Consider the following 22156-nt stretch of genomic DNA (forward strand, 5'->3'; position numbering starts at 1 on the left):
GTCTCCCCAATCCCCTCCCCACTCCTACACCCCTCCAGGCTCCCAGGCCCCTAGGGTTCATTCCATTTCTGCTCCAGTTCCATGCCTGTTAATGGCCATTGTTCTGTGGAGAAAGACAAAAATGTTTTCAGTTTAGAGGCATTGTTTTGGACTTTCTCTCTGTGGGCCACGGGCCTGGATGGGAGGCCTCTTGGCAGAGTGGCCCCAGGCAAGGAGAGGTTGGTTGCACTGGGAGGTGGGGGTAGGGTAATGGGGGAGGAGGGCTGGATGAGAGGCTGAGTGGAGTCCTCCGTCTGTGCTGGGTGTGCATAGGGACAGCCCCCAAGAGAGGTCAGTCCCCTCCTGTCTTTGGCCTCCTCCTGGCCTCCAGTCCCATCCCAGCTATTTTGGCCCAGGCATAATTTTCTCTTTAGGCTCCCTGACTTTGGATGGGTGAGCAACTTTCTCTCTGTGGGCCTCAATTTCCTCATCTGTAAAATGAGAGGCTTCGAAGACTCTTCCTTGTTCTATGCCTCTGGACTCAACAGCTCAGTCACATGAACAGCCCCTTCTTTGCTCCAAGACTCCAGTGGTCAGAACCGGCCTAGAATTCGGGCAGTGGCCACCTAGGCAGCAGGCTTTGAGTGGAAAAGTACCTGCCCCTGGCACCATAAATGTCTTTGACTTACTTTGTGGTCTGGAATTCAATCACTAGAGATTCACTCTTTGGGGGCCTGTTTCAAATGCCATTTTCAATAAGTGGGGAGATAATTGCTAATACCTTCCAACACTGACTGAGAATAATCCTTTGCTTATATATTACTCTTCACAATGTTGAAATCGTTTTCAGCTATATGATCTCATTTGAGGCTGCAACAACCCAGGGATTAGCTGACCATTGAAGGGTTAAGATCCCACAAGCTGTGACTCAAGATAAGAACTTGGAAGCAGGTGGCCTCCTTCTAGGAATTACCTGTATTTTAACAAAGGAATATCTTGAGGATAAAAATAATCACAAAGCAATCCCTCTGTAGGTGGCAGAAATTTCAAACCCTGGGACACCAGGCAGGCAAAGCTGTCTGGGGTGGCTTGGAATGAGGATGCTGTGCCCAGTGGGTGCGTGCTCATTCAGCCCAGAGCAAGGCTGAGCCTGTCTAGTGCCTGCCCCTGCCCACTGTTGTCAAATCAAGTGACCAGCCTTCAAGTGCTCACTAGACCCCTGGTGGGGACAAATCGGTGTCGGCAGGTATCTGGGTTCACAGGAAACACCCACAGAATGATTCCAGGAAGTCAATAATGATATTTAAAGCAGAGTCAACCGCGCGCTGTGGCTCACACCTGTAATCCCAGCACTTTGGGAGGCCGGGGCAGGCAGATCATGAGGTCAGAAGTTCAAGACTAGCCTGACCAACATGGTGAAATCCCGTCTCTACTAAAAATACAAAAATTAGCTGGACATGGTGGCAGGTGCCTGTAATTCCAGTTACTCAGGAGGCTGAGGCAGGAAAATTGCTTGAAGCAGGGAAGCGGAGGTTGCAGTGAGCCGAGATCATGCCATCACACTCCACCCTGGGTGACAGAGCAAGACTCTGTCTCAAGGTAAAACAAAAACAAAAACAGAGTAAGGAAGAGTTTAAGTGCTGTGGTGAGGGGATAGAGAAGTCAGGGAGGTTGGGGCTGGATAAGAACTAGTGTGGAACATGGAAGGCTAAGGAAGGAAGCCATGGGAAGCCATGGAAATACAGGGGTGGAGAAGTGGTGGTCTTCTACAGGGAGGGCCACCCAGATAAAAAGGTTATGGCTTGTGGGTGTTGGATGAGGGCATTTTGAAACTGGCCTGGAGTAATTGGATACCGATCCTGGAACAGACTCTGTGTCTACAATGAAAAAGAATGACCATTTATTAGGGCTTCTAGATTTAGGTGTTTTCTGTTCCGTATTTTGCTTGAGACTTGAACTATCCTAGAGGTAGATTTTATCATTCACAGTTTACAGAGAATTCAGAAAGGGCATAAAATCTGCCTAAAGTCATACAGCTCGAAAGTGGCCACACTGGAAGTCAAACCTGAGTCAGCCAGCTCCAAAGCCTGCTTTCCTGCCACTTCGGCAAAGTGATATCTATCTGCTCACATTGCCTCCTCTTTCCCCATGACAGTGTTCTTGAGGCACAAAGAGCATCCTTGGTATTTCCTGCACAGGTAATTCTTTACCAGTTTTTGTTTGTTTGTTTGTTTCTTTCTTTTGAGACGGAGTCTTGGTCTGTTGCCCAGGCTGGAGTGCAGTAGCATGATCTCGACTCACTGCAACCTCTGCCTCCTGGGTTCAAGCAATTGTCCTGCCTCAGCCTCCCCAGTAGCTGGGACTACAGGCACACACCGCCACACCCAGCTAATATTTTGTATTTTAGTAGAGATGGGGTTTCCGTATGTTGCCCAGGCTGGTCTCCAACTCCTGAGCTCCGGCGATCCACCCACCTCGGCCTCCCAAAGTGCTAGGATTACAAGTGTGAGCCACCTCGCCTGGCCCTTTAACCAGTTATTTTTTATTCATCATGTAGTGAGCAATAAGGGTTCTTCTTGTGCCCCAGCTTGGTAAGATGACCACAAGAAGAAGAAAGTATCTCTACACAGCAGTTTTTCTATAAAGGGGCATATATAGTATATATTTGGGGTTTTACAGGACATATCATCTTCTTGTAACTACTCAACTATGGGGAAAGTAGCCATTAGCATTATGTAAGTGAATGGACGTGACTGGGTTCCAATAAAACTTTATTTATTAAAACAGGAGTCAGGCCAGATTTGACCCTTGATCCACAGTTTGCTGTTTGAGAAGGAGAGCTTTGCACAGATGGAAGAGTTAAGTAACGGGGCATGAGTTAAGCAACAGGATGAGTGTCATGGACCAAGTGTATGGGCTCCCAGATATCCTGGGAATACCCAAGAGGTGGTGAGTGTACCAAGAGTTTATGGCATTTTGCATTTTGGAGAAACAGGAGAGGTGAAAAAGGAAAGACTGGGGTTAGATTGTGGGGGCTGGGCTTTAAATACCAAGCTGAGTACTACTGGGAGCAGAGATAATGTTCCCCCTACTGGGATACCATGAAGGTGACATTCATTTGTGAAACTTAAACTCATAAGTACACCCCAGAGCAGAGCTGTAGCAGAGATAAGCCAGGCTTTGGGTTCCAGGGAATTTCCTGTAAATTAGTTTACATTTACAGGTAAATATGGAGTGCCATCACATCCCAGCATTTTGAGGCTATTTTCTTTTCTTTTTACGGAGTCCTGCTCTGTCGCCCAGGCTGGAGTGCAGTGGTGTGATCTCGGCTCACTGCAAGCTCTGCCTCCCAGGTTCATGCCATTCTCCTGCCTCAGCCTCCCGAGTAGCTGGGACTACAGACACCCGCCACCACTCCTGGCTAATTTTTTTGTATTTTTAGTAGAGATGGGGTTTCACCATGTTAGCCAGAATGGTCTCTATCTCCTGACTTCTTGATCCGCCCGCCTCAGCCTCCCAAAGTGCTGGGATTACAGGTGTGAGCCACCGCGCCCAGCCTGAGGCTATTTTCTTATGTTAGCCAGGATGGTCTCGATCTCCTGACCTCTTGATCTGCCCGCCTCGGCCTCCCAAAGTGCTGGGATTACAGGTGTGAGCCACCGCGCCCAGCCTGAGGCTATTTTCTTATGTATTGTAGAAAGAGAAAATGGCTGATGTAATATCGTTTTCATAATTTTTTTGAGTATTTCTTTTTGTGAATGCTAAACAGGTATTTGAAAAAAATGTCTCTCAATTTGTTGGATATAACATTTATTAAAGTTGATTAATTGTGTCACTCAAATCCTCTATTATTTTCATTATGACTTTTGTCACTTGATCCACAGATTTCTGAGACAGGTCTATTAAAGCTTTCATCCATAGCCATAGATTTGTTCATTTCTCCTTTGTTTGTATCAGTGTTTACTTTACATATTTTGAAGCTGGGTTGTTAGGTGCCTAAAGAATCGTGGAAATTGTATGTGTTTGGAAGATTATAATTTTCACCAATATATCTCCTTCTTTATTTGTTTGTTTTTTTCTTTTTTTGGCTGGAGTGCAGTGGTGCAATCTCGGCTCACTGCAACCTCTGCTTCCCAAGCTCAAGCGATCCTTCCACCTCAGCCTCCCAAGTAGCTGGGACTACAGGCGTGTATTTTCAGTAGAGATGGGGTTTCACCATGTTGGCCAGGCTGGTCTTGAACTCCTGACCTCAAGAGATCCACCCACCCCAGCCTCCCAAAGTGCTGGGATTACAGGCTTGAGCCACCATGCCCAGCCTTTCTTTGTTTCTTTTAATGCTTTTTGTCTTTGGATTTCATTTTGTCTGATACTAATATACTTCCTTTCTTTTTGTTATTATTTGCTTGATATATTTCCCCCATCTGTTCATATTCAAAATGATCTTGTCAGTTTCAGTACATCTCTGTAAAAATCATATGTATAGAAGGATGCCCTTTAATGGGGAATTTTCTCTTTTCTCATGTATTATTAATGATATCTTTAGACTTGTCCTGTCATTTTATTTTATGCTTCCTCTTCACCTTGTTTTCTTCTTATCTTTTTTCCTCTCTTTCCCTGCTTTTTGTTAGACTGATCTTTGCCCCCTTCCCCATCTTTTTAACTTGCTCTATTGATCTGGAAGTTGATTTTCCAATTCTCCATCTTCTGCTGATTACCTTTAAATTTGAATCCTGCTTTTTTTTTTTTCTTCCATACCCTCTGAGGCAGATGAATCCTTTAACTTCTAGTTTTCTATAAATGACTAGAGCTGATCAGGAACTTTTTCTCCCGTAGCATTATTTAACTTTCCTCCTTCTCCTCCCCCACCTGCCACCTCCCAAGTTGAGATCATCTGGGTAGATTATTGCTCCAAATTGTTGTTTTTAAAATGTTTACATTATGCCTCAATAATTACTCAGACTTCACTAAAAGTTTTACTCGTTTCTTTGTTCACCACAGTTTCGGCATCCCACGTCTTCCTCTTTCCTGAATTCACTATTTTTCTATTGAAGCACCTCCTCTGGAAATTCTTTAAGGAATACGAGGGTGGCAAACTTTCTTCTTGTAAAACAAAAAAAAAAATCTTAATTTTTTCCTCCCACTTGAATACTTCATTTCCCTTCAGGGCCTTGAAGATAATATTTCATTGTCTTTTAACATCCAGTCTGATGCCAATTTAATATTATTCTATTGAAGACCTGCTTTTTTTCTCTCCAGAAGCTTCTAGGATTTTTTTTCTTTATTTTTGTTGTTATGAAGTTTTACTATAATATGTCTAGGTGTGAGTCTTTTTCCCTGGGAGAGGTCAAGCTAATGATTAACTTCTTTCTTCAGCAATTGGGAAATTTTCTTTTGTTAGTTCTTTAATTATTTTCCCTCTTCTATTCTCTGAAGCTCTAGCTTTCTGTAATGCCTATCCCACAGATGGTTCTTAATTTTTTCTCTCAGACTTTCCATCTTTTTATCTTTTTTAATGTGCTTAAGGAGACTTTCTCAGGACAGTCTTCCTGATCATTAAACCTATCTAGACCATCTACTGAGTTTTGAATTTCAATGATCAATTTTTAAATTTCTTAGACTCCTGATTGATTCTTTTAAATGGATTTAATATTATTTTGCATCTCTTGAAGATAACAATTATACATCAACCAAACTGGTTTCTGTTTTTGTTTGCTCTATTATCTCTGTTACTTTGGGCATTAACTCTTCCATATGTTAAGTTTAGAGCTATGCTATCCAATACAGTAGAGCCTTGCTGCTTAAATTTAATTAAAACTAAATTAAAAATTCAGTTTTTCAGTTGCGGATGCCACACTTCAAGTGCTCAATAGCCACATGTGGTATGTGGCTACATATTGGACAGCTCAAATATAGAACATTTCCATCACTGCAGAAAGTTCTATTGGATAATATTGGCTTGGGGCTACTCCCTGTCATGGTTATATTTTTCATTAAATTTTTGGTGATTATTGATGTTCTGCTCATCCTTAATTTGCCAGCTTTCTGTTCACTGTAGCCTGTCTCTGTTACGGGGAGTGGGAGAGAGGTGAGTGGCCTGCTGACAGTCTTTCTCCTGGCTGAGGGCTCCCTATTCCTCTCCCAGAGTGTCAGTAGCTACTTGGAGTATTGCTTACCTCTCTAGCCCAGCACCTTGGGGCAAATCCACTGCTGCTAGCTGTTGAGCACTGGTGTTCAGGAATATCCCTGGGACCTCCTCTGGTTTCTTTGAGTCTGTTGACTCAGGCTTGGAGTCCCCCAAACCACTCTTTTCTCCATAGCAGTCTTCTCCTGCATGTTTTAGCTGTGGTTTCCTTCAGTTTTATTTCTTTATAGCTTTTTTTTTTTTTCTCCTGAGACAGAATCTTGCTCTGTCGCCCAGGCTGGAGTGCAGTGGCATGTTCTTGGCTCACTGCAACCTCCACCCGCATTCAAGCGATTCTCCTGCCTCAGCCTCCTGAGTAGCTGGGATTATAGGCGCACGCCACCATACCTGGCTAATTTTTTTTGTATTTTTAGTAGAGACGAGGTTTTGCCATGTTGGCCAGGCTGGTCTTGAACTCCTGACCTCAAGTGATCTGCCTGCCTCGGCCTCCCAAAGTGCTGGGATTAAAGGCGTGAGCCACCGCGCCCGGCCTCTTTATAGCTTTGATGCCATTTATCTTTCTCTCTCACAGATCCAACATTTCTGATCTGCTGATGGTTCTCTGTTTTATCACACGATATTGGATTTACTATTTTATTTGTTCCAAGAGTTTTTCTGTCATTTTGTGTATTGTAGCAGGAGAGACGGTCTTTTGCCAGCTTGACCCAAACTGCAACAATGCCTTTGTATTAGCATCACTCTGCTCCTTGTACACACATTTAACAACTAATGGTTGAAAACCTTGCAATTCTCAAATTCAGACAGGTGCTAGGCTGGCTAAATTAGAATCACCTGATAATCCATGGACCCACTCCTGGGGGCTTTGAATGCACAGCTCGGCTTGGGAATCACTGGCCCACTAAGTGGGATGAGCAGGAAAGAGAATCATGTACCCAAGACAGACCACTTTCTTTGCAGGATAGTTTGTGGCCAATGCTCGAATGCCCAGGATCTCCAGTAGCCAGGTCACTGTTTATGTCAGTGAATGGGACAGCGGGTGAGTGTGGAGATGCGGAATTTAGGGACTTCTTTCCCTCAGGACTAATAGAGGATGAGAAATTGCAAAGCCCAGTGGATAGAACTCAAGGACAAGGGAGATACAAAAAGTACAATTGAATGGAATTGAGATGAATGATTGCTGCAGGCCTCTCTCCCTCCCACAATGATATCAACTCTGCAAACCCCAGAGATCAAAATGCAGCCAGAAAATTTCCCCATCTAGAGATTTTTAAAAAAACTTTAATTGCTATCCTACTGAGGGGCCAACTCCAGCTTTGAGGAGATATATTTACTGGTTAGATTTTCAGTAATGATTATTATTGTTACTGTTAAGAAGAATACACTCATTGTCTCCAGTGAGCTCACTGTGCTGCACAAACATGACCTCATTTCTCCTCTGAATGGGGCAGGTATTGTTAACTCTGTTTTCCAAAAGAAGGACATGGAGGTCCACTGCAGTCCAACGCCTTGAGCAAGGCCACACATCAAGAGAGGGAGGGATGATGGAACCAGGCCCTGGACCTCTCCCATTTGGGTCCCAGGGCTCTTTGCAGAGATCTAGGTTCATGTGTCCGGTCAGTCCCTTGACTTCACTTAGGATCACAGAGCTGGTTCTGGGGATCCGAGGGGATCAGAGAAGTCAAGATCACCAACATCAGATACCAGGGGAGGAATAATCATCACCTTTCAGTGGCTCAGCCAATTCCATACTCCAGTCTCAGCAATCAAACCCTCCCTGGTTTGGCCCTGGTTTTGCTAGGCTCTAGCCTAACTGATTTCCCTCCCTACTTCCTCAACAACTTAGGGGACTCAACTACTTCACCCCCTTGGATCCACTCAGACTGAGAATCATATTCACATCAGACTTGTTCTTCTGCCCCATGACAAGTTCCTGCTGCCTGGATGTCACTTGGGTTAATTGCAGCACATTTTGGCCACTGTGAAATTCTTTAGGCCCCTGCTTCTGCCATCCCCTAAATTCTGTCCCAGATTACCCTCCCCACCTCCTACCCAAGCTTCAAGCCTCAGCATGCCCAGGAAACCTTCCCTTAACCTTCCAGAAGAGTCCCTCTCCCTCTCTGAACTCCTGCCACCCTTATTCATTCATTCCACAGGTAATCACCGAGGACCTACCATGTGGCAGGCAGTACAGGAGATGATGAGGACACGATAGTGAACAAGCCAGACATGGTCCCTGCTCTGATGGAGCTTACGTTCTAGTTGGGGAGAAGGGAAAAACAAAAGTAAATAATTCAGTAAGTTAAATATTTACAAGTTGTCATAAGCTAATATGAAAAGACCTCCCTAGGCCGGGCACGGTGGCTCATGCCTGTAATCCCAGCACTTTGGGAGGCTGAGGCGGGTGGATTACCTGAGATCAGGAGTTCAAGACCAGCCCGGCCAACATGGTGAAACCCTGTCTCTACTAAAAAATACAAAAATTAGCCGGGCATGGTGGCAAGCGCTTGTAATCCCAGCTACTCAGGAGGCTGAATCAGGAGAATTGCTTGAAACCAGGAGGCAGAGGTTGCAGTGAGCCGAGATCACGCCATTGTACTCCAGCCTGGGCGACAAGAGTTAAACTCCATCTCAAAAAAGCGAAAAGAAAAGGCCTCCCAGTAAAATCCAAAGAAATTAGGGCCTCTGAAACTTACTCTAAATCTGCCCATATCTCTCCATCTTCCACCCTGTCCAAGAAAGAGCTTGGTTTATCGAGGTATGTCAAAAAGGGTTATATGTGGCTAAAGGGTGATGGTAGATGACAGCAGAGGGGTACAAGGTGGGGCAGGAGAGGGAGGCAAGGCTGGACTACACAAGGCCTTGAAGGCTGGGCCAAACGGCGGATTTCATGCTCAGAACAATGAGAAGACATGGTAGGATTTTTGACCAGGGAGTAACATGGGCTGACTTACACTTTATGATGGAGATTCTCAGTGGGGCAGGGGGAAGTGAAGATAGGGGGTATGATTTCACTCCCCTCCCCCAGGGGACATGTGTCAATGTCTGTAGACATTTTTGGCTGTCGCAACGTGGGGAGGGAGTGCTGCTGCTGGCACCTAGTGGGTAGAGGCCAGGGATGCTGCTAAATGTGCTACAATGCATAGGATGGCCCCCCAACAAACGTCAATCACGTTGAGGTTGTATGGCCCAGCTTTAAAACGACTCTGGCTGCCATATGAAGGATAGATTCTCAGCCCCCAAGAGTGGAATTAGGGAGAACACCTGGAAAGCCATTTAAATCAACTTCATATAGCTATAGTATTGACCCACCTGAACCTTTCTCCCAAACCTTAACCTCCCTGATCTGGGGTCTCTGTTTTCTGTTGAGTGACAGCCAGTCAGCCAACCAGCCCAAGTCACCCTGCAAGAAGCCCCTTTGCATTTTAACAGGGACCTTCTGGAGACAATGCTTTAACCCAAAAGAACAGTCAGGCTGGCTGAGCAGCAGGGGGAGTCATGCCAAGGTATCACTGTGCAGAAGCCACCTGCTGTATGGGAGAGGATGAGGGTTTAGAGACCAACTCCAAGCACGCCCTTTTCCTCCATAGTCATAGTCAGCCCCTGTCATGCTAGCTGCTGCCAACTCGGCGCTCTCCTCCCTGACCCTGAGAATGCCAGGCCTGTACGGGCTGCAGAGGATCTGGACACTGAAAGCATGTGATGCCCTGCACTTACTGCGAGTTTATGAGTATTTACACCAGCATGTAAACCTATCATTTACAGCCTCGGCATGTAAATCAACATAGAGTTCAAGGGCTCTCCTTTTGACTCCTCCCCACCAACTTGAGGTTGGTTTTAAGATTTGGGAAGCACATGATTGAGCTGTGGTGACAATGGGAGGTCTGTGGATAAGGAACTCAAGGAGGAGGGGAAGGTCCCTCCTTAGAGGCAGGACTGGCCAAGCAGATGGTGAAGGAAGGAGAGTTTGTCTTCTGTGCCCCAGTTACGGCCCACTCTTCTACTAACACAGAGGTTGTTAACCTTTTGAGAGAGAGAGAGTTTGTGTGTGTGTGTGTGTACGTGTTGGGGTAGGGGGTGGGGGGACGGTTATGGAAATTTTGAAGAAAGCTATAGAAAACCTCTCTCTGGAAGAATGGATAATGTGGACAAAAGTTTGTATACAATTTAGGAGACTCCCAAATCCCCTTAAAGTGACAATATGAACTAATTCACACCAAAGTATAAGTGACTAACAATGTTCAGTTTATTTCCATTTAAATGGGGGAGGAAAGCCCTTAAATCGAGCTGGAGCTCTTACTAGGGAACTTCTCTAAATCAGTGGGTTGAGATACATTCTAAAGAGGCTGGAAAAGCATCTCCTAACTTCTGAAATCTCTGCATACTCCTATTGTACCTACATATAAAACTGAGTTTGGATATAGGGAAGCAACAGAGGGAGGAAGGGCGGCAGCATGTTTTTAGGCTAATTTAGACTCAAAAGGTCATCTGAAACTCCACCCAATGGGTTTTGTTGGGACTTGGGTACTAGATATTCCTGGTCAGCCAAAGTGTCTGATCTTGTTAATGGGCCAGTAAAAATTAGGGGGACAAAGGCCAAGCACTGGCTACTCAAATGAATCTCCTCTGCAAAAGCCGAGCAAGCAAGAGCAACTCGTAATGAGTTGTAACCAAGCAAACAGAGGAATCATTGTGTTTCATTAACTTTAATAGAACTTGTTAGGTTGGCTTCCAAGGGCTGTGGGACGGGAGAGAAAGCCAGACTCATCATCGGGGCTGGGGAGAAGGCTGGCTCTCGTGGACTGCCCCTGCGTTCCCCAGCACCAATCTGGAAGCAGCTGCTCTTGCTACCCCCATGGGCTCCCCAGCCCAGCACGACATCCTGGCTACACAGGCAAGGAGCCCAGGCCTCAAGGACTAATTCTTTCTTGCCAGGGTGGGGAAAGACAGAGACAAAGAGCTTAGGGCAAACCATCTCCAGGCTTGGGAAGGCCACCTGGCTCTGGGCACCTACAAAAAGGCCCCCTTCCAGGGACATCAAAAGTTCAGCTCCAATGCCCATAAGCCCCCACTAAAGGGGGGCTCTGGGCAGCCCAGAGCCCAGCCCAAGGACCACTATCAATGCCAGCCACAACCCTGTCTCCCTCTTCCTTCACCCCAGATCTGTCCAATACCAGAAAAATGAAAAACAAACAAACAGGGCCAGCAGAAAACACATCACCAAACAAACTCGCCTCACATTGTCCTCTGTGGTTGGCCAGGGCAAGAAGCCAGAGGTCGTTTGCCTGGAAAAGCCCAAGTAGCTCCTTAAGCTTGGCCCCTGAACAGTTCAGGGTTTGCCTTGTCTCCTCCAGGGCTGCCTCCTTCTCTTTCTCTCTCTTCCTTCTCCATCTCTCTTTTCCTTCTGTCCATTATTTCCCTCCCTGTCACTTCTTTTTTGTTTGTTTGTTTGTTTGAAACGGAGTCTTGCTCTGTCACCCAGGCTGGAGTACAGTGGCCAAATCTCGGCTCACTGCAAGCTCCGCCTCCTGGGGTTCACACCATTCTCCTGCCTCAGCCTCCCGAGTAGCTGGGACTCCAGGCATCCGCCACCACACCCAGCTAATTTTTTGTATTTTTAGTAGAGATGGGGTTTCACTGTGTTAGTCAGGATGGTCTTGATCTCCTGACCTCGTCATCCGCCTGCCTCAGGCTCCCAGAGTGCTGGGATTACAGGTGTGAGCCACCATGCCCAGCCCACTTCTTTTTATGTCCTCTTTTCCCCGTTTTTCTTTCTGTTCTCTTCCTGCATTCATGATGAAATAAATTCACTAAAAATCAACACATTGAAGAAATCCTGGAGCACACATAAAGCTAATTCATGAAGTGAGCCCGCCATGCTGCTACTTTGCTGTAAAGTTGCCGGGTTCCCGGAGCCTATGCAACACTGTCAGTCGCTTAGCATCTGATGGAAACAGGCTCTTCATTGTCTAGCCCCATCCCACCTTTCAGATCTTCCTCCACACTCTCTGAAATACTTGTCTCTGATTGAACCAATTATTAATTCCCTGAAGACATTCTCCTCTCCAAGTCTTTGCTCATGTTGTTCCTGCCACCTGGAAAGCCCTCACTCTCTTCACCCAACTCCATGTATGAGAATTCTATATATTCTTTGAGGTCAGCTTTAAACCCTTTCCTCCTCCACTGAGTTGTCCTCCTGCTTCCAGCTGGAATTAATCTGTGCTCTTTATGCCCTCATTAGAATTTTATGTTGGCACCTCCATGTTTGGACATTTACCACATTCTGCCTTATATTCCAATTATTTAGATGTGAATTTCTCTTGCCAAATCATAAACTTAAAAGGAGAAACCATGTCATCTTTGAATCCCCACATCCTTTAAGTCCCTGGTACATAGTAAGTGCACAATAAATGTCAAACATCAAACATTGAGTCTGTGGTTATATAGAAATACACATACAATTAGTTCCACATCTTAACTTCACCAATGTGGGCCTATTTCAAATACAATAATTTTATTTGCAAATTTGTTTGAGGCAGTGGGTTCCCTGAGTAGACTCCCAGAGGTCTGGCTTCAGGACTTCACCAAGGGCTGAAGGATGGTATGTTAGATGGCGGCACCTACTGGTAAAGGGTGGCATTACAGCTTGGATCTACCAAAGAGAAGCCACCAAATTTCTCAATCAATCCCAGCAGCATTGGACCGGGGACTGGGGACAGAGGGTAAAGACAGAAGAGCTCCTTCCGGGCTGGGTGCGGTGGCTTACACCTGTAATCCCAGCACTTTGGGAGGCCGAGGCAGGTGGATCACTTGAGGTCAGGAGTTCAAGACCAGCCTGACCAACATGGAGAAACCCTGTCTCTACTAAAAATACAAAATTAGCCGGGTGTGGTGGCGCATGCCTGTAATCCCAGCTACTTGGGAGGCTGAGGCAGGAGAATCACTTGAACCTGGGAGGCAGAGGTTGCGGTGAGCTGAGATCGCAGCATTGCACCCCAGCCTGGACAACAAGAGCGAAATTCCGTCTCAAAAAAAAAAAAAAAAGAATGAGCTCCTCTCCCTCCTCAGTAGCCCTTAAGCTGATCAAGAGGTGGAACATCACTGAGTCTGGGTCAGGGGCCCAGGGAAGCCCGTTCTTCTTCAACATACTGCAACTTCCTACAGACTAGATTTTGCAGGACCAGAGCAGGGCACCAAGGAATGTCAGCCTGACTGTGATGTCCCTCAGCTTTGCCAAGTCAGCTCAGAAGTGGAGACGTGGCATGACGAAAAGAGAGCCTCTTGCTGCAAAAGGGAGGCAAAATTCTGTAAGGATATCAACACTCAGCAGAAGCACATAGCTGGCAAACATTCCGACGATCCTTCCTTATTGCAGGTTTTCAGCTTCTCCTAGAATGATTTTCAGCCCAATGGGAGCCCTTCTATGGAAATGTAATAGAAGCTATTGGGCAACTGAGCTTTGTTTTACAACAATTTGCTTTATGGTCTACTTGAAGTTGGTTCATGGATAAATTGAACTTTGCCCCAATACTTCCACCTATCCTTTCCTTAATCCAGGATATCCATAGGAGTGGTATTGGTAGATGAAGTGGTCCTTCTCCACCTCTCCATCTTTTCCTCTGAGGAGGGAACCCAGTGGAGATCTAGGAGAGGATAGCCATAAAGAATAGGGTAGGGGGAGGGAAAGCAAGCCACCTCTTAGCAAAATTAGGAAGTTCCTTATGAGTGTTCCTACAGCCCCCTCCTCTGACACTCACAACACATTTTTTAGGGTGTCAACTGATAACTAAAGTTTTAACTGGCAAAGGCCGTCACCCTCTCTCACAGGAATATTTGTATTTAGGGCCAAAGAACATAAGGTTTAGCTCAAAGGAGTGATTCTCCAATAATGGAATGTTAAGCATCAGTCAGAAAGATCTTTGATGAGGTGGCAGAGAATCCCCCAGGGACTTTCAAGTGGCCTCACCTAGGGTTCTCCTTCCTGGACTTGCCTCCCAGAGTTCATATGAGAGCTGCCTATAGACCCCTTTCATCTGTTCTGGCCCCAGACCTCTGACCACTCAGGCTGCTTCTTGACCAGTCTCCTACCTCTGGCTGCTTTATCTAGGCTGCCATTACCCAGTTCTTCAGACCTTTGGGGATATCCTGAGCTCTGGCTTGGAAGGTTCCAGATACGCATCTGTGTCTTCCAGACCCTGAAAGTCTCTAGCAGGAGTCCTCTCCTAGGCCCCCTGTGTGTACATGGTCTTTCCTCAGTGGGGTTTTCCACACTGCCCTTCCATTGAACACCCTCTGCTGCCCTAGGTCCTCCAGGAAACCTGAAGCATCCTCAGACGGGTGGGAGGCAGGGAGACGAGGTCAGGGAATGCTTCACTTCTCCTCTGGGGTTTGCGTGAGCTCACCCTTCCTTTATTCTTTCAGCTATTCAGTAAATATTCACTGAACACAACTATCTTCCAGGCATATGCTTAGAGCTGGGGATACAGAGGTGACCCAAATGGGTCTTGCCCTCAAAGGTTTGACAGAACTAGTGGAAGGTAAACAGACCATTAGCGATAGCCAGGGCCATCACTGGGATAGGTTTCAAGGACCACTGAGCTCCAAGTCTGCTGGGGCAGTAAAAAGACTTCCCTGCCAAGGTACCATGGAAGCTGGATCTTTTTATTTTTGTTTTTAACAGGGTCTCATTATGTAGCCCAGGCTAGAGTGCAGTGGTGAGATCACAGCTCACTGAACCTCCAACTCCTGGGCTCAAGCAGTCCTCCTACCTCAACCTCTGAGTAGCTAGGACTACAGGTGTACATCACCACTTCAGCTAATTTTTGAATTTTTTTGTAGAGACAGGGTTTCATTATGTTGCCTGGGCTGGTCTTGAACTTCTGGCCTCAAGTCATCCTCCTGCCTCAACCTCCCAAAATACTGGGATTAAAGGCATGAGCCACTACAAGATTTTAAAGGGCAGTAGTTCTCCAGCTGACAAGAACATGGTGCGTGCCAGGCATGGTGTAGCTAGGGTGTAGTGATGGTGAAGTTAGAAGACAAGCATGAAATGTCATTGGAAATAAAGGCTCAGGACTGGCACAGAAGGCCACGTACACTGTGCCAAGCAGCCAGAACTTAGCTCTGTCAGGCAGTGGCCCACAGGAGACACAAGAAGTACCTGAACTGTGGCAGCAGCAAGGGGGATCAGGAGGAGGACTGTCCTTAGGACTCTGAGGAGTCCAAATGGGGCCACTGAGTAGGTTTTGAGCTATTAACCTCAAGATGGAGATCACGGGAAGAGGACAGGTCAGGGGAGGATGTTGTGAGGAATGAGTTCAGCTGGGGGTAGGTTCAGCTTCAGGTCTTGAAAAATATCATCGGAAGTATCTATAAGTAGGTGGAAATATAGGACTAGATAGGAAGCAGAGAAGGGAGCTAGAGCTATAGATCTGCAAATTGAATATGCGGAATTAGAGCTAGGAGAAAAGTGGGGTTAGGGATATAGATTTGGTGGTCACTGGCATATTGGTGGTGCCTGGAGCCATAATGCCCCACTACGTGCTGTCCGCCTATTTCGTGAGGGACCTTCCACACAAGTCATCATCAGTAACACTCCAAACATCAGTAACAGAAGTTTATCCTCCCTATTTTCCAGATGAGGATGATAAAGCTCAAAGAGGTGAAGAAACTTGCCCAAGCTCACCCATTGACGTGGCTGGGATTTAAACTTGGGACTATTTGACCACAAAGCCAATGTTCTTTCCTTCACCCTTGCTGTCCCTCAGAGAGTCCCCTAGGGAGGTCATGTAGAGTGAGAAGTGAAAAAAGCCAAGCTAGAAGCCCAAACTCTCCAGCATGTAAGAGGCCAGCAGAGAGAAAGCAGCCAGCAGGAGATGCAGGAGAAGAAAGTGCTCCAAGAAGCGGAAGAAGAATGTTCAGAGGTTTTGGATGAGGCAGAGATGTCAGGCTAGATAAGGACCGGCAAACAGCCCTGGATATGAAGACGTGGAAGTCGCTGGAGACTTTGGGGGAGGGGTGGCAGAGGGAGTCTGGGACAGAATGCATTAGGGCCAGGGATGAAAGGGAAGCAGTGTCATGGAGACCTAGGGCAGAGAAGTTGGGAGCCTGGAAGGACAAGAGGCAGCAGGGTCTGGGTTACTTCCCTGTTGCTACTATAGGATGCTGCAGATCTTATTGTGTTTACAGGGGGAGCTGAGGTGAGACATTCAGGCAAAAGAGGGGATAACTGACAGAGCCAGCTCCCTGAAGTGGCAAGAGGGGATGAGATCCAGGTACATGTACATGGTATTAGGTTTGGCCAAAAGGATGGACCCCTCTCCCAGCAGTGGAGAGAGAAGGGAGCAGGCGATAGGAGGCTCACGTTAGATGGCTCCTGGCTTTTTGGAGAAACAGGAATTGAGGATGCTGATTGGAGAAGTATGGGGGCTGGGGTTGGCAGAAGGGAAACAAGTTTGGGAGGGCAGCTGTGTGGAAGTGGACAGGGTGCAGGCCTGGGGTGGCTGGAGATTTGCCTTGTGATGTGCAGGGGTCTGGAACCACACATCGGTGATGATGCCAGTTGGCAGGGTAGAGATTTTTGTTTCCTTAGTGAAAGCAGCTGGGGCACAGGTGGAGAGGAAGCAGGTGGCAAGGTAACTCAGGAGTGGATGTGGGCAGAGAGGAGGGGTGGGAGGAAACTGGGGTGAAGGGCCAAGGGAGCTAAACTGGAGGTGGCCTAAGTGTCTGGAGGAGAGGCTGGAACAGGTGTGGGCAGCTTGGATTGGGTTCCCTCTGCCCCATGTCTTGGCAGGGCTGCCTGTGGACCTCTCTGTAAAGCCAACACTAAGGGCCTGGGAACAAGGTACTCCTAAAATCCCAGCGCTGGGAAACAGACTTTGAGAGAGGGTTACTTCCAAGCCTCTGCCTATATGGCAAAATGACTCCTGAGCTACCCTGAAGGAGTGCAAAGCAAGGACAGAGTCAGCCTGTCCACCAGCCTAGTAAGATCCCCTCCCTCTGATTAGGGTGTGAGTGGCAAAAGTGTATCAAGTCTCTGTGAATTCAGAGGAGGCAGTGTAGACAGCTGAGGAGGTATACAAGCTTCAGAGTCAGGCCTGGCCCCAAGTCCTGGCTTTCTTCTTTCTTAGTCTGTCATCCTGGGTAAGTTAATCTACCTGAGCCTCAGTTTTCCCACCAATAAAATGGGGATAACAATTCCTGCCTTACAGGCTCGTGATGGAGTGCCTGGTATAGTGCCTGGAACATAGAAAGCACTTGGTAAATGGTAGCTATGAGCTCTAATTTGTGTCTCGGGGTGTCTATGTCTTCTTAAGGTAGAGTAGGAGGTGCAAGACAGTAGGGATGGAGAGACTCCAGAGCTACCTAGTGGGCAAGTGAATATTCTTCTAACTGCATAATGTATAAGTGCTGATGACAAGGGCAGTGTGCTGGAATGCATGGAATTTTTGGAACCTTCTCAGTAGGTATGTATGACAGACAGGAACCTGTTGGGGGTGGTGAGAATCTAGCCCAGTTGGCTGTGCTCACACCCAGTGGCATCAAAGCCTAATCTGGGACAAGGCTGCTTCTTCCCACCAGCCACTACTATACCTTTGTTATCAAACCCTTGGGCTTTTTTATTTTTATTTTTTTTTTGAGCTCTGTCGCACAGGTCAGAGCAGTGGCACAATCTCGGCTCACTGCAACCTCCAACTCCCAGGTTCAAGTGATTCTCCTGCCTCAGCCTCCCAAGTGGGTGGGATTACAGGCGTGCACCACCACACCTGGCTAATTTTTGTATTTTTAGTAGAGACAGGGTTTCACCATGTTGGTCAGGCTGGTCTCAAACTCCTGACCTCAAGTGATCTGCCCACCTTGGCCTCCCAAAGTGCTTGGATTACAGGTGTGAGCCACTGCAGCTGGCCCCAAACACTTGGGCTTTTGTTCTTCTGAGAAGTAGTGGAAAGAACAACAATAGCCTCTACCTATTAAATGCCTACATGTGCCAGTGCCAGGTGTTTTCTATATATTATCTCATTTAATTAACACCAATAACCCTACGAGGTTTTTATCCCCTATGTCAGATGAGAAAACTGAAACTCCCTGAGATTGAGTAATTTCCCTGAAGTCACAGAGGTAGAAAGCACCAGAGCTGAGATTTGAATTGCAGGTTTGTTTAGAGCCCACACAGACACTGATGGACGGACACTTTTGAGGTCATATAACCATATCTATTTTCCAGGTGAGGAAGCTGAGGCTCAGAAAAGTGAAACAACTCACCAAGAAAAATAGATGGCTGGGAAATGGTAGGGCCTAACAATGATCTCAGGGCAATCTACTTCCAGCTTGTATGTGCTCTCCATTAGACTATATGGCACTGCCCATCGAGGTAGGGTCATTGGACTCATTTTATATATAGGGAAACTGAGGAGCAGAAAGAAAAAGCAACGCTCATGGAAGGAGACTTTGCAGGGGAGGGGAAACCCCTGAGCCTGGTGGGCCCTGGCAGAAGGATCCCTAAACAGGACTGAACCAAGATCTATCAGCTAGGGGATCCCTGACCCCTGCCAGTCTTCTCCTCAGACATTTTCAGGAGCAAGTAGAATGAAACAAATGTCAGAAGCATCCCTGAAGGAAAATGAAGCCCCAAAGCAAACTGCAACCTTAGAGGTGCGTGTAGGAGGCCCAGAGCCCACTGGACATTTTGCCCCTGCTGGTTATGATATGGCACGTGCTGCTGCTGCTTTTGTAGTACCACTTGCAAGTGCCATCTTGTTGTTCCTTCCCTGTCATCTTCCTGAGTTACTGTCCAACTGAGTCCCTGCAGAAGAGGACAGGGCAAAAGGCAATATGAATTGGACCAGCACCTCAATTCACAGTGTCCTGGTGATATAAGCCCTGCTTCTACTCCTGTAGAATAGTCTGAAGGGCTGAGGGTACTCTGGAATCAGATTGGGTGAGTGGCAGCAGGAGAGAAGAGCAGGGAACTGCCTCTTTTTGCCCAGATGTGGAGGAGTAGCTCATCTGGTCCAAGAGGAAAAGAGGAAATCATCAGAGGAAAACTGGTAGGATGAGATAAAAGGCAACTACGGGGCATAAAAATCAATCTTCCAGAGACATAGTGGCTTAGGTGGAAGAACCCACCAAACCTCCCTCCCTGAAAGCCAGGGCAATATCCGTACTCAGAGGGCCGGGAAATCACCCTGAACTGAAGGCCCCAAATAACCCATAATCCCCCTATAGAATCCTCCTTGCCCACCTCAAGGAGGATGTAGGGGCCCTCCCTCCAACCCCCCAGGGACCCGGAGGAGCTACACTAGTGTCCAAAGAAGGCAGAGGCAGAGCAAAGCAAGGCAGCGTGCCATCTCCCCTCCCAGCCGTGGGGGAGCTCCTCGGCTCTCTCTCTCTGTGCCCCCATGGAGATCACAGACACCGTCCGGCAACCTCCACTTCTTTCTCCTTTTTTGAAACCATTCTCTTGTTGGGGGCAAAAAAGATGGCAAATTTACACTTGTCCTCCAACCCTACACATAATTGGTGGCAGCAGGCAAAACCGCTGCAAGGGGAGGGTTTTGCCAGTGGAATGAAGGAGGGAGGGCATCTTAGAGTGACAAGGATGGGAGGGACCTCAATCATCTGACCCAGCCTTGCTGTGGCCTCCACACCATTCCCATGATCTATGTGCTCCCATCCCAAAGGTCATCTTTGATGCTATGCAAGGTTCTCCAGGACTCCTCCCCCAGGCTTCCTTGGGGCACTGCCCCCTTTCCACCACTGAGTGAATCCACTACCCTCTTGTTTTCTGAGGAAACTGAGGCCCATTGACATATGACTTGTTCAAAAGTAATCTTCATCCCAGGATAAGAAGTTTGAGTCTGTTTCCATCCTACTTTTCCACTGAATCCCTAGGAAAGGAAGGGCTCAGCTCTTCTCCCTGGTGGACAGCACCATTGCCAACAAAGTCCTCCCCTTGCCCCAGCTGATGTGGGCAGCCAATATGGAAGGTCTCAGAACTGAATCACCTTTGAGGAGATCTTGGTCATTGCCTCTTCCTCCTGGGTACGCTGAGGGCTCTGTGAGGCTAGTCTGGGTCCTAGCAGCATCTTCCCTGTAGAAAACTGGACCTGGCCTGGTCTCATTCTGAACACAGCCTCACACTCCAAGAAAGTCTTCATAGCCTTTCAAGAGGTCTTTCCTCTTTCCCTTACAATGGAAGGAAAGAAGATACAGAGTGGGTGAACAGTCAAGAGGCAGCATCCATGGTTGGAAGACCCTGCTCCTTCTGCGGTTTGCCCCTGTTTTAAAAATATCCTTTCTCTTTCCTCTGCTTCCCCTCAGTTGGAAGGATGAAGGGTTCAGAATGGACCAGTCAGGACCACCTCTTGAAGCGGGGTGCAGGTTTGGAGGAGCCTCTTGTACCTGTCTCTATGTCTCTGTGTTTATACACATAGACATGATTCTGTGGGGTAGCTTTCGCCCCTGTGCTGACCACATGAGAGTGTCTGTATGTGAGTCCATGTCTCTGCGGGTAGGGTGGTTCATTAGGCTTACCTCCAAGGCCTTAACTGCAAGGGAGTCTGCCCTGGAGCTGGCAGTTTTAGCAGGCGGAGGCTACTTTCTTTTTGGTCCTCAAAGTGGACTCGCATCTAGGAATGGGGACTGAGTCTTGAGGTTGGGGGTGTGGTAGGTGTAAAAGTTGAGAGGTTGTTACTCGGCCTGGTGTCGGAGGCGGTGTGTTCCGAGGTCCTATGTCCCCTGTCAGGCTGTGTCGGTGGACACGCCCGAGTGCCCGTGTGTCCGTGTGTCCACGTCTGCCCCAGCCTCCCCAACACCTCGCACCCTCTTTGTCTCGGGTGGAGGTGTGCGTTCAAACCTGGCGCCGCACGGCCGTCCTCGCGAGCGAGCGCGGGGACGCACCCTCGCTCCCCGACTCTTTCCTAGGGGAGCGAGGACGAGTCGGAGCCCGGTGCTGTTTGGTCTGGAGCCGAGCGGAGCTTGCATTGATCCATTGATTGCGCGCGGTCTGCGCCTGACCTCCCTGCTCCCGGGGAAGCCGTCTCCATGGAGACCAGGCCCGCTCCCCCATCGCCGGATTGTAAATTCCTGCAGGCAGCGGCCCGGCAGCCTGGGGAGGGGGCCACCGCGCCCGGGCGCGCAGGGGGAGCGGCCACCGCGCCGAGGCCCCATTTGAAAGAAAAAAGGGCACGAAAAAGGAGGTGGTGGAGAAGGAGGAGGAGGAGGAGGAGGAGGAGGGGGAGGAGGAAGAAAACGAAAAGGAGCGAGGAGAGGAGGAGAAAGAGGAGGAGGAGGAGAAAGGCGAAGAAAAAGAGCCTGAGAGACGGAGAAAGAGCGAGAGAGGAAGAAAGAGAGGCAGAAAGGGCGTGTTTCTGGCGCTGCGTTTCCCCTCCCCTTTCTCAGGTCCTTCGCTCGGGCTCTGCGCGCTCTCCGGCTGCAGCTCTCTCCCGGCGAAGCTGGGAATTGGGTGGGATTACACGGAGCAGCCCCGCCGCCGCCGCTGGCAGAGGCCGGCTTGGAGAGGGCGGGGGTTCCCCTCCGTCAGTCGCCCCTGGCGCCCCTCGCCTCGTCGCACTCTCCGCCTCGCTCTCCCCGACGTCCGGCCAGGAGGAGCCGGTAGCATCGGGAGCCTCGCGCCGAGGGCGCCGCGGTCCGCGCCCCGCGACTGCAGCCCCCGGCCTGGCCCCGGCGGGGCGCCCCCTCCCCTCCCCCTCCTGCGAGCTGGGATCCGGCCGGCTTCCGCCCTCCCCTGGCCGCGAGACCGGCCCCGGCGGCTGGGCCGCCAGTAGCTCCAGCCATGGGCTCGGGGCGCGTACCCGGGCTCTGCCTGCTTGTCCTGCTGGTCCACGCCCGCGCCGCCCAGTACAGCAAAGCCGCGCAAGGTAAGGAAGGAGGGGCGCGCGGCCTGGGGGCTGTCCTGGCTGCTGGGCCTCAGGGCCTAGGAGCGATTCCCGAGGGGCAGGGCAGGTGCTGGGGAGCGTGCTGCTGTCAGAACCCGGCTCTGTGCACCCGGACTCCCCGGCCAGGGGCCCGACCGCTGGG

At 48.6% G+C, this 22156-nt stretch overlaps 1 protein-coding gene and 1 long non-coding RNA gene across 8 annotated transcripts in view, besides 1 other annotated feature; one reads left to right on the top strand and one right to left on the bottom strand.

Annotated features, from left to right (window-relative positions):
* On the bottom strand, positions 1 to 21173 carry LOC112267955 (uncharacterized). Of its 3 annotated transcripts, none has more exons than XR_002956343.1 (3): positions 20122 to 21173; positions 8294 to 8376; positions 1 to 103 (listed from the first exon to the last, which is right to left on the bottom strand). It is a non-coding gene; the product is annotated as an uncharacterized LOC112267955 (long non-coding RNA). The 3 variants fall into 3 exon arrangements; XR_002956344.2 differs by lacking the exon at positions 1 to 103 and adding an exon at positions 2734 to 7773; XR_007059560.1 differs by lacking the exon at positions 1 to 103 and having other exon boundaries at positions 2734 to 8376.
* SCUBE3 (signal peptide, CUB domain and EGF like domain containing 3) overlaps positions 21449 to 22156 on the top strand; it is a 39124-nt gene continuing 38416 nt past the window's right edge. For all 5 annotated transcript variants that reach the window (XM_005248943.2, XM_005248947.2, NM_152753.4 and 2 more), the window contains exon 1: positions 21449 to 21996. In XM_005248943.2, the coding sequence (XP_005249000.1) occupies positions 21912 to 21996 (85 nt within the window). In that variant the 5' untranslated portion in view covers positions 21449 to 21911. The remainder of the gene's footprint in view (positions 21997 to 22156) is intronic.
* Positions 21473 to 21582: a silencer, noted in NCBI's record as "silent region_17084". NCBI's record gives its function as "represses an Ori minimal core promoter by ATAC-STARR-seq in GM12878 lymphoblastoid cells {active_cell/tissue: GM12878}" and the evidence as "EXISTENCE:reporter gene assay evidence [ECO:0000049][PMID:35858748]".

The sequence above is a fragment of the Homo sapiens genome, chromosome 6, assembly GCF_000001405.40.
Source record: "Homo sapiens chromosome 6, GRCh38.p14 Primary Assembly".
NCBI lineage: Eukaryota > Metazoa > Chordata > Mammalia > Primates > Hominidae > Homo > Homo sapiens.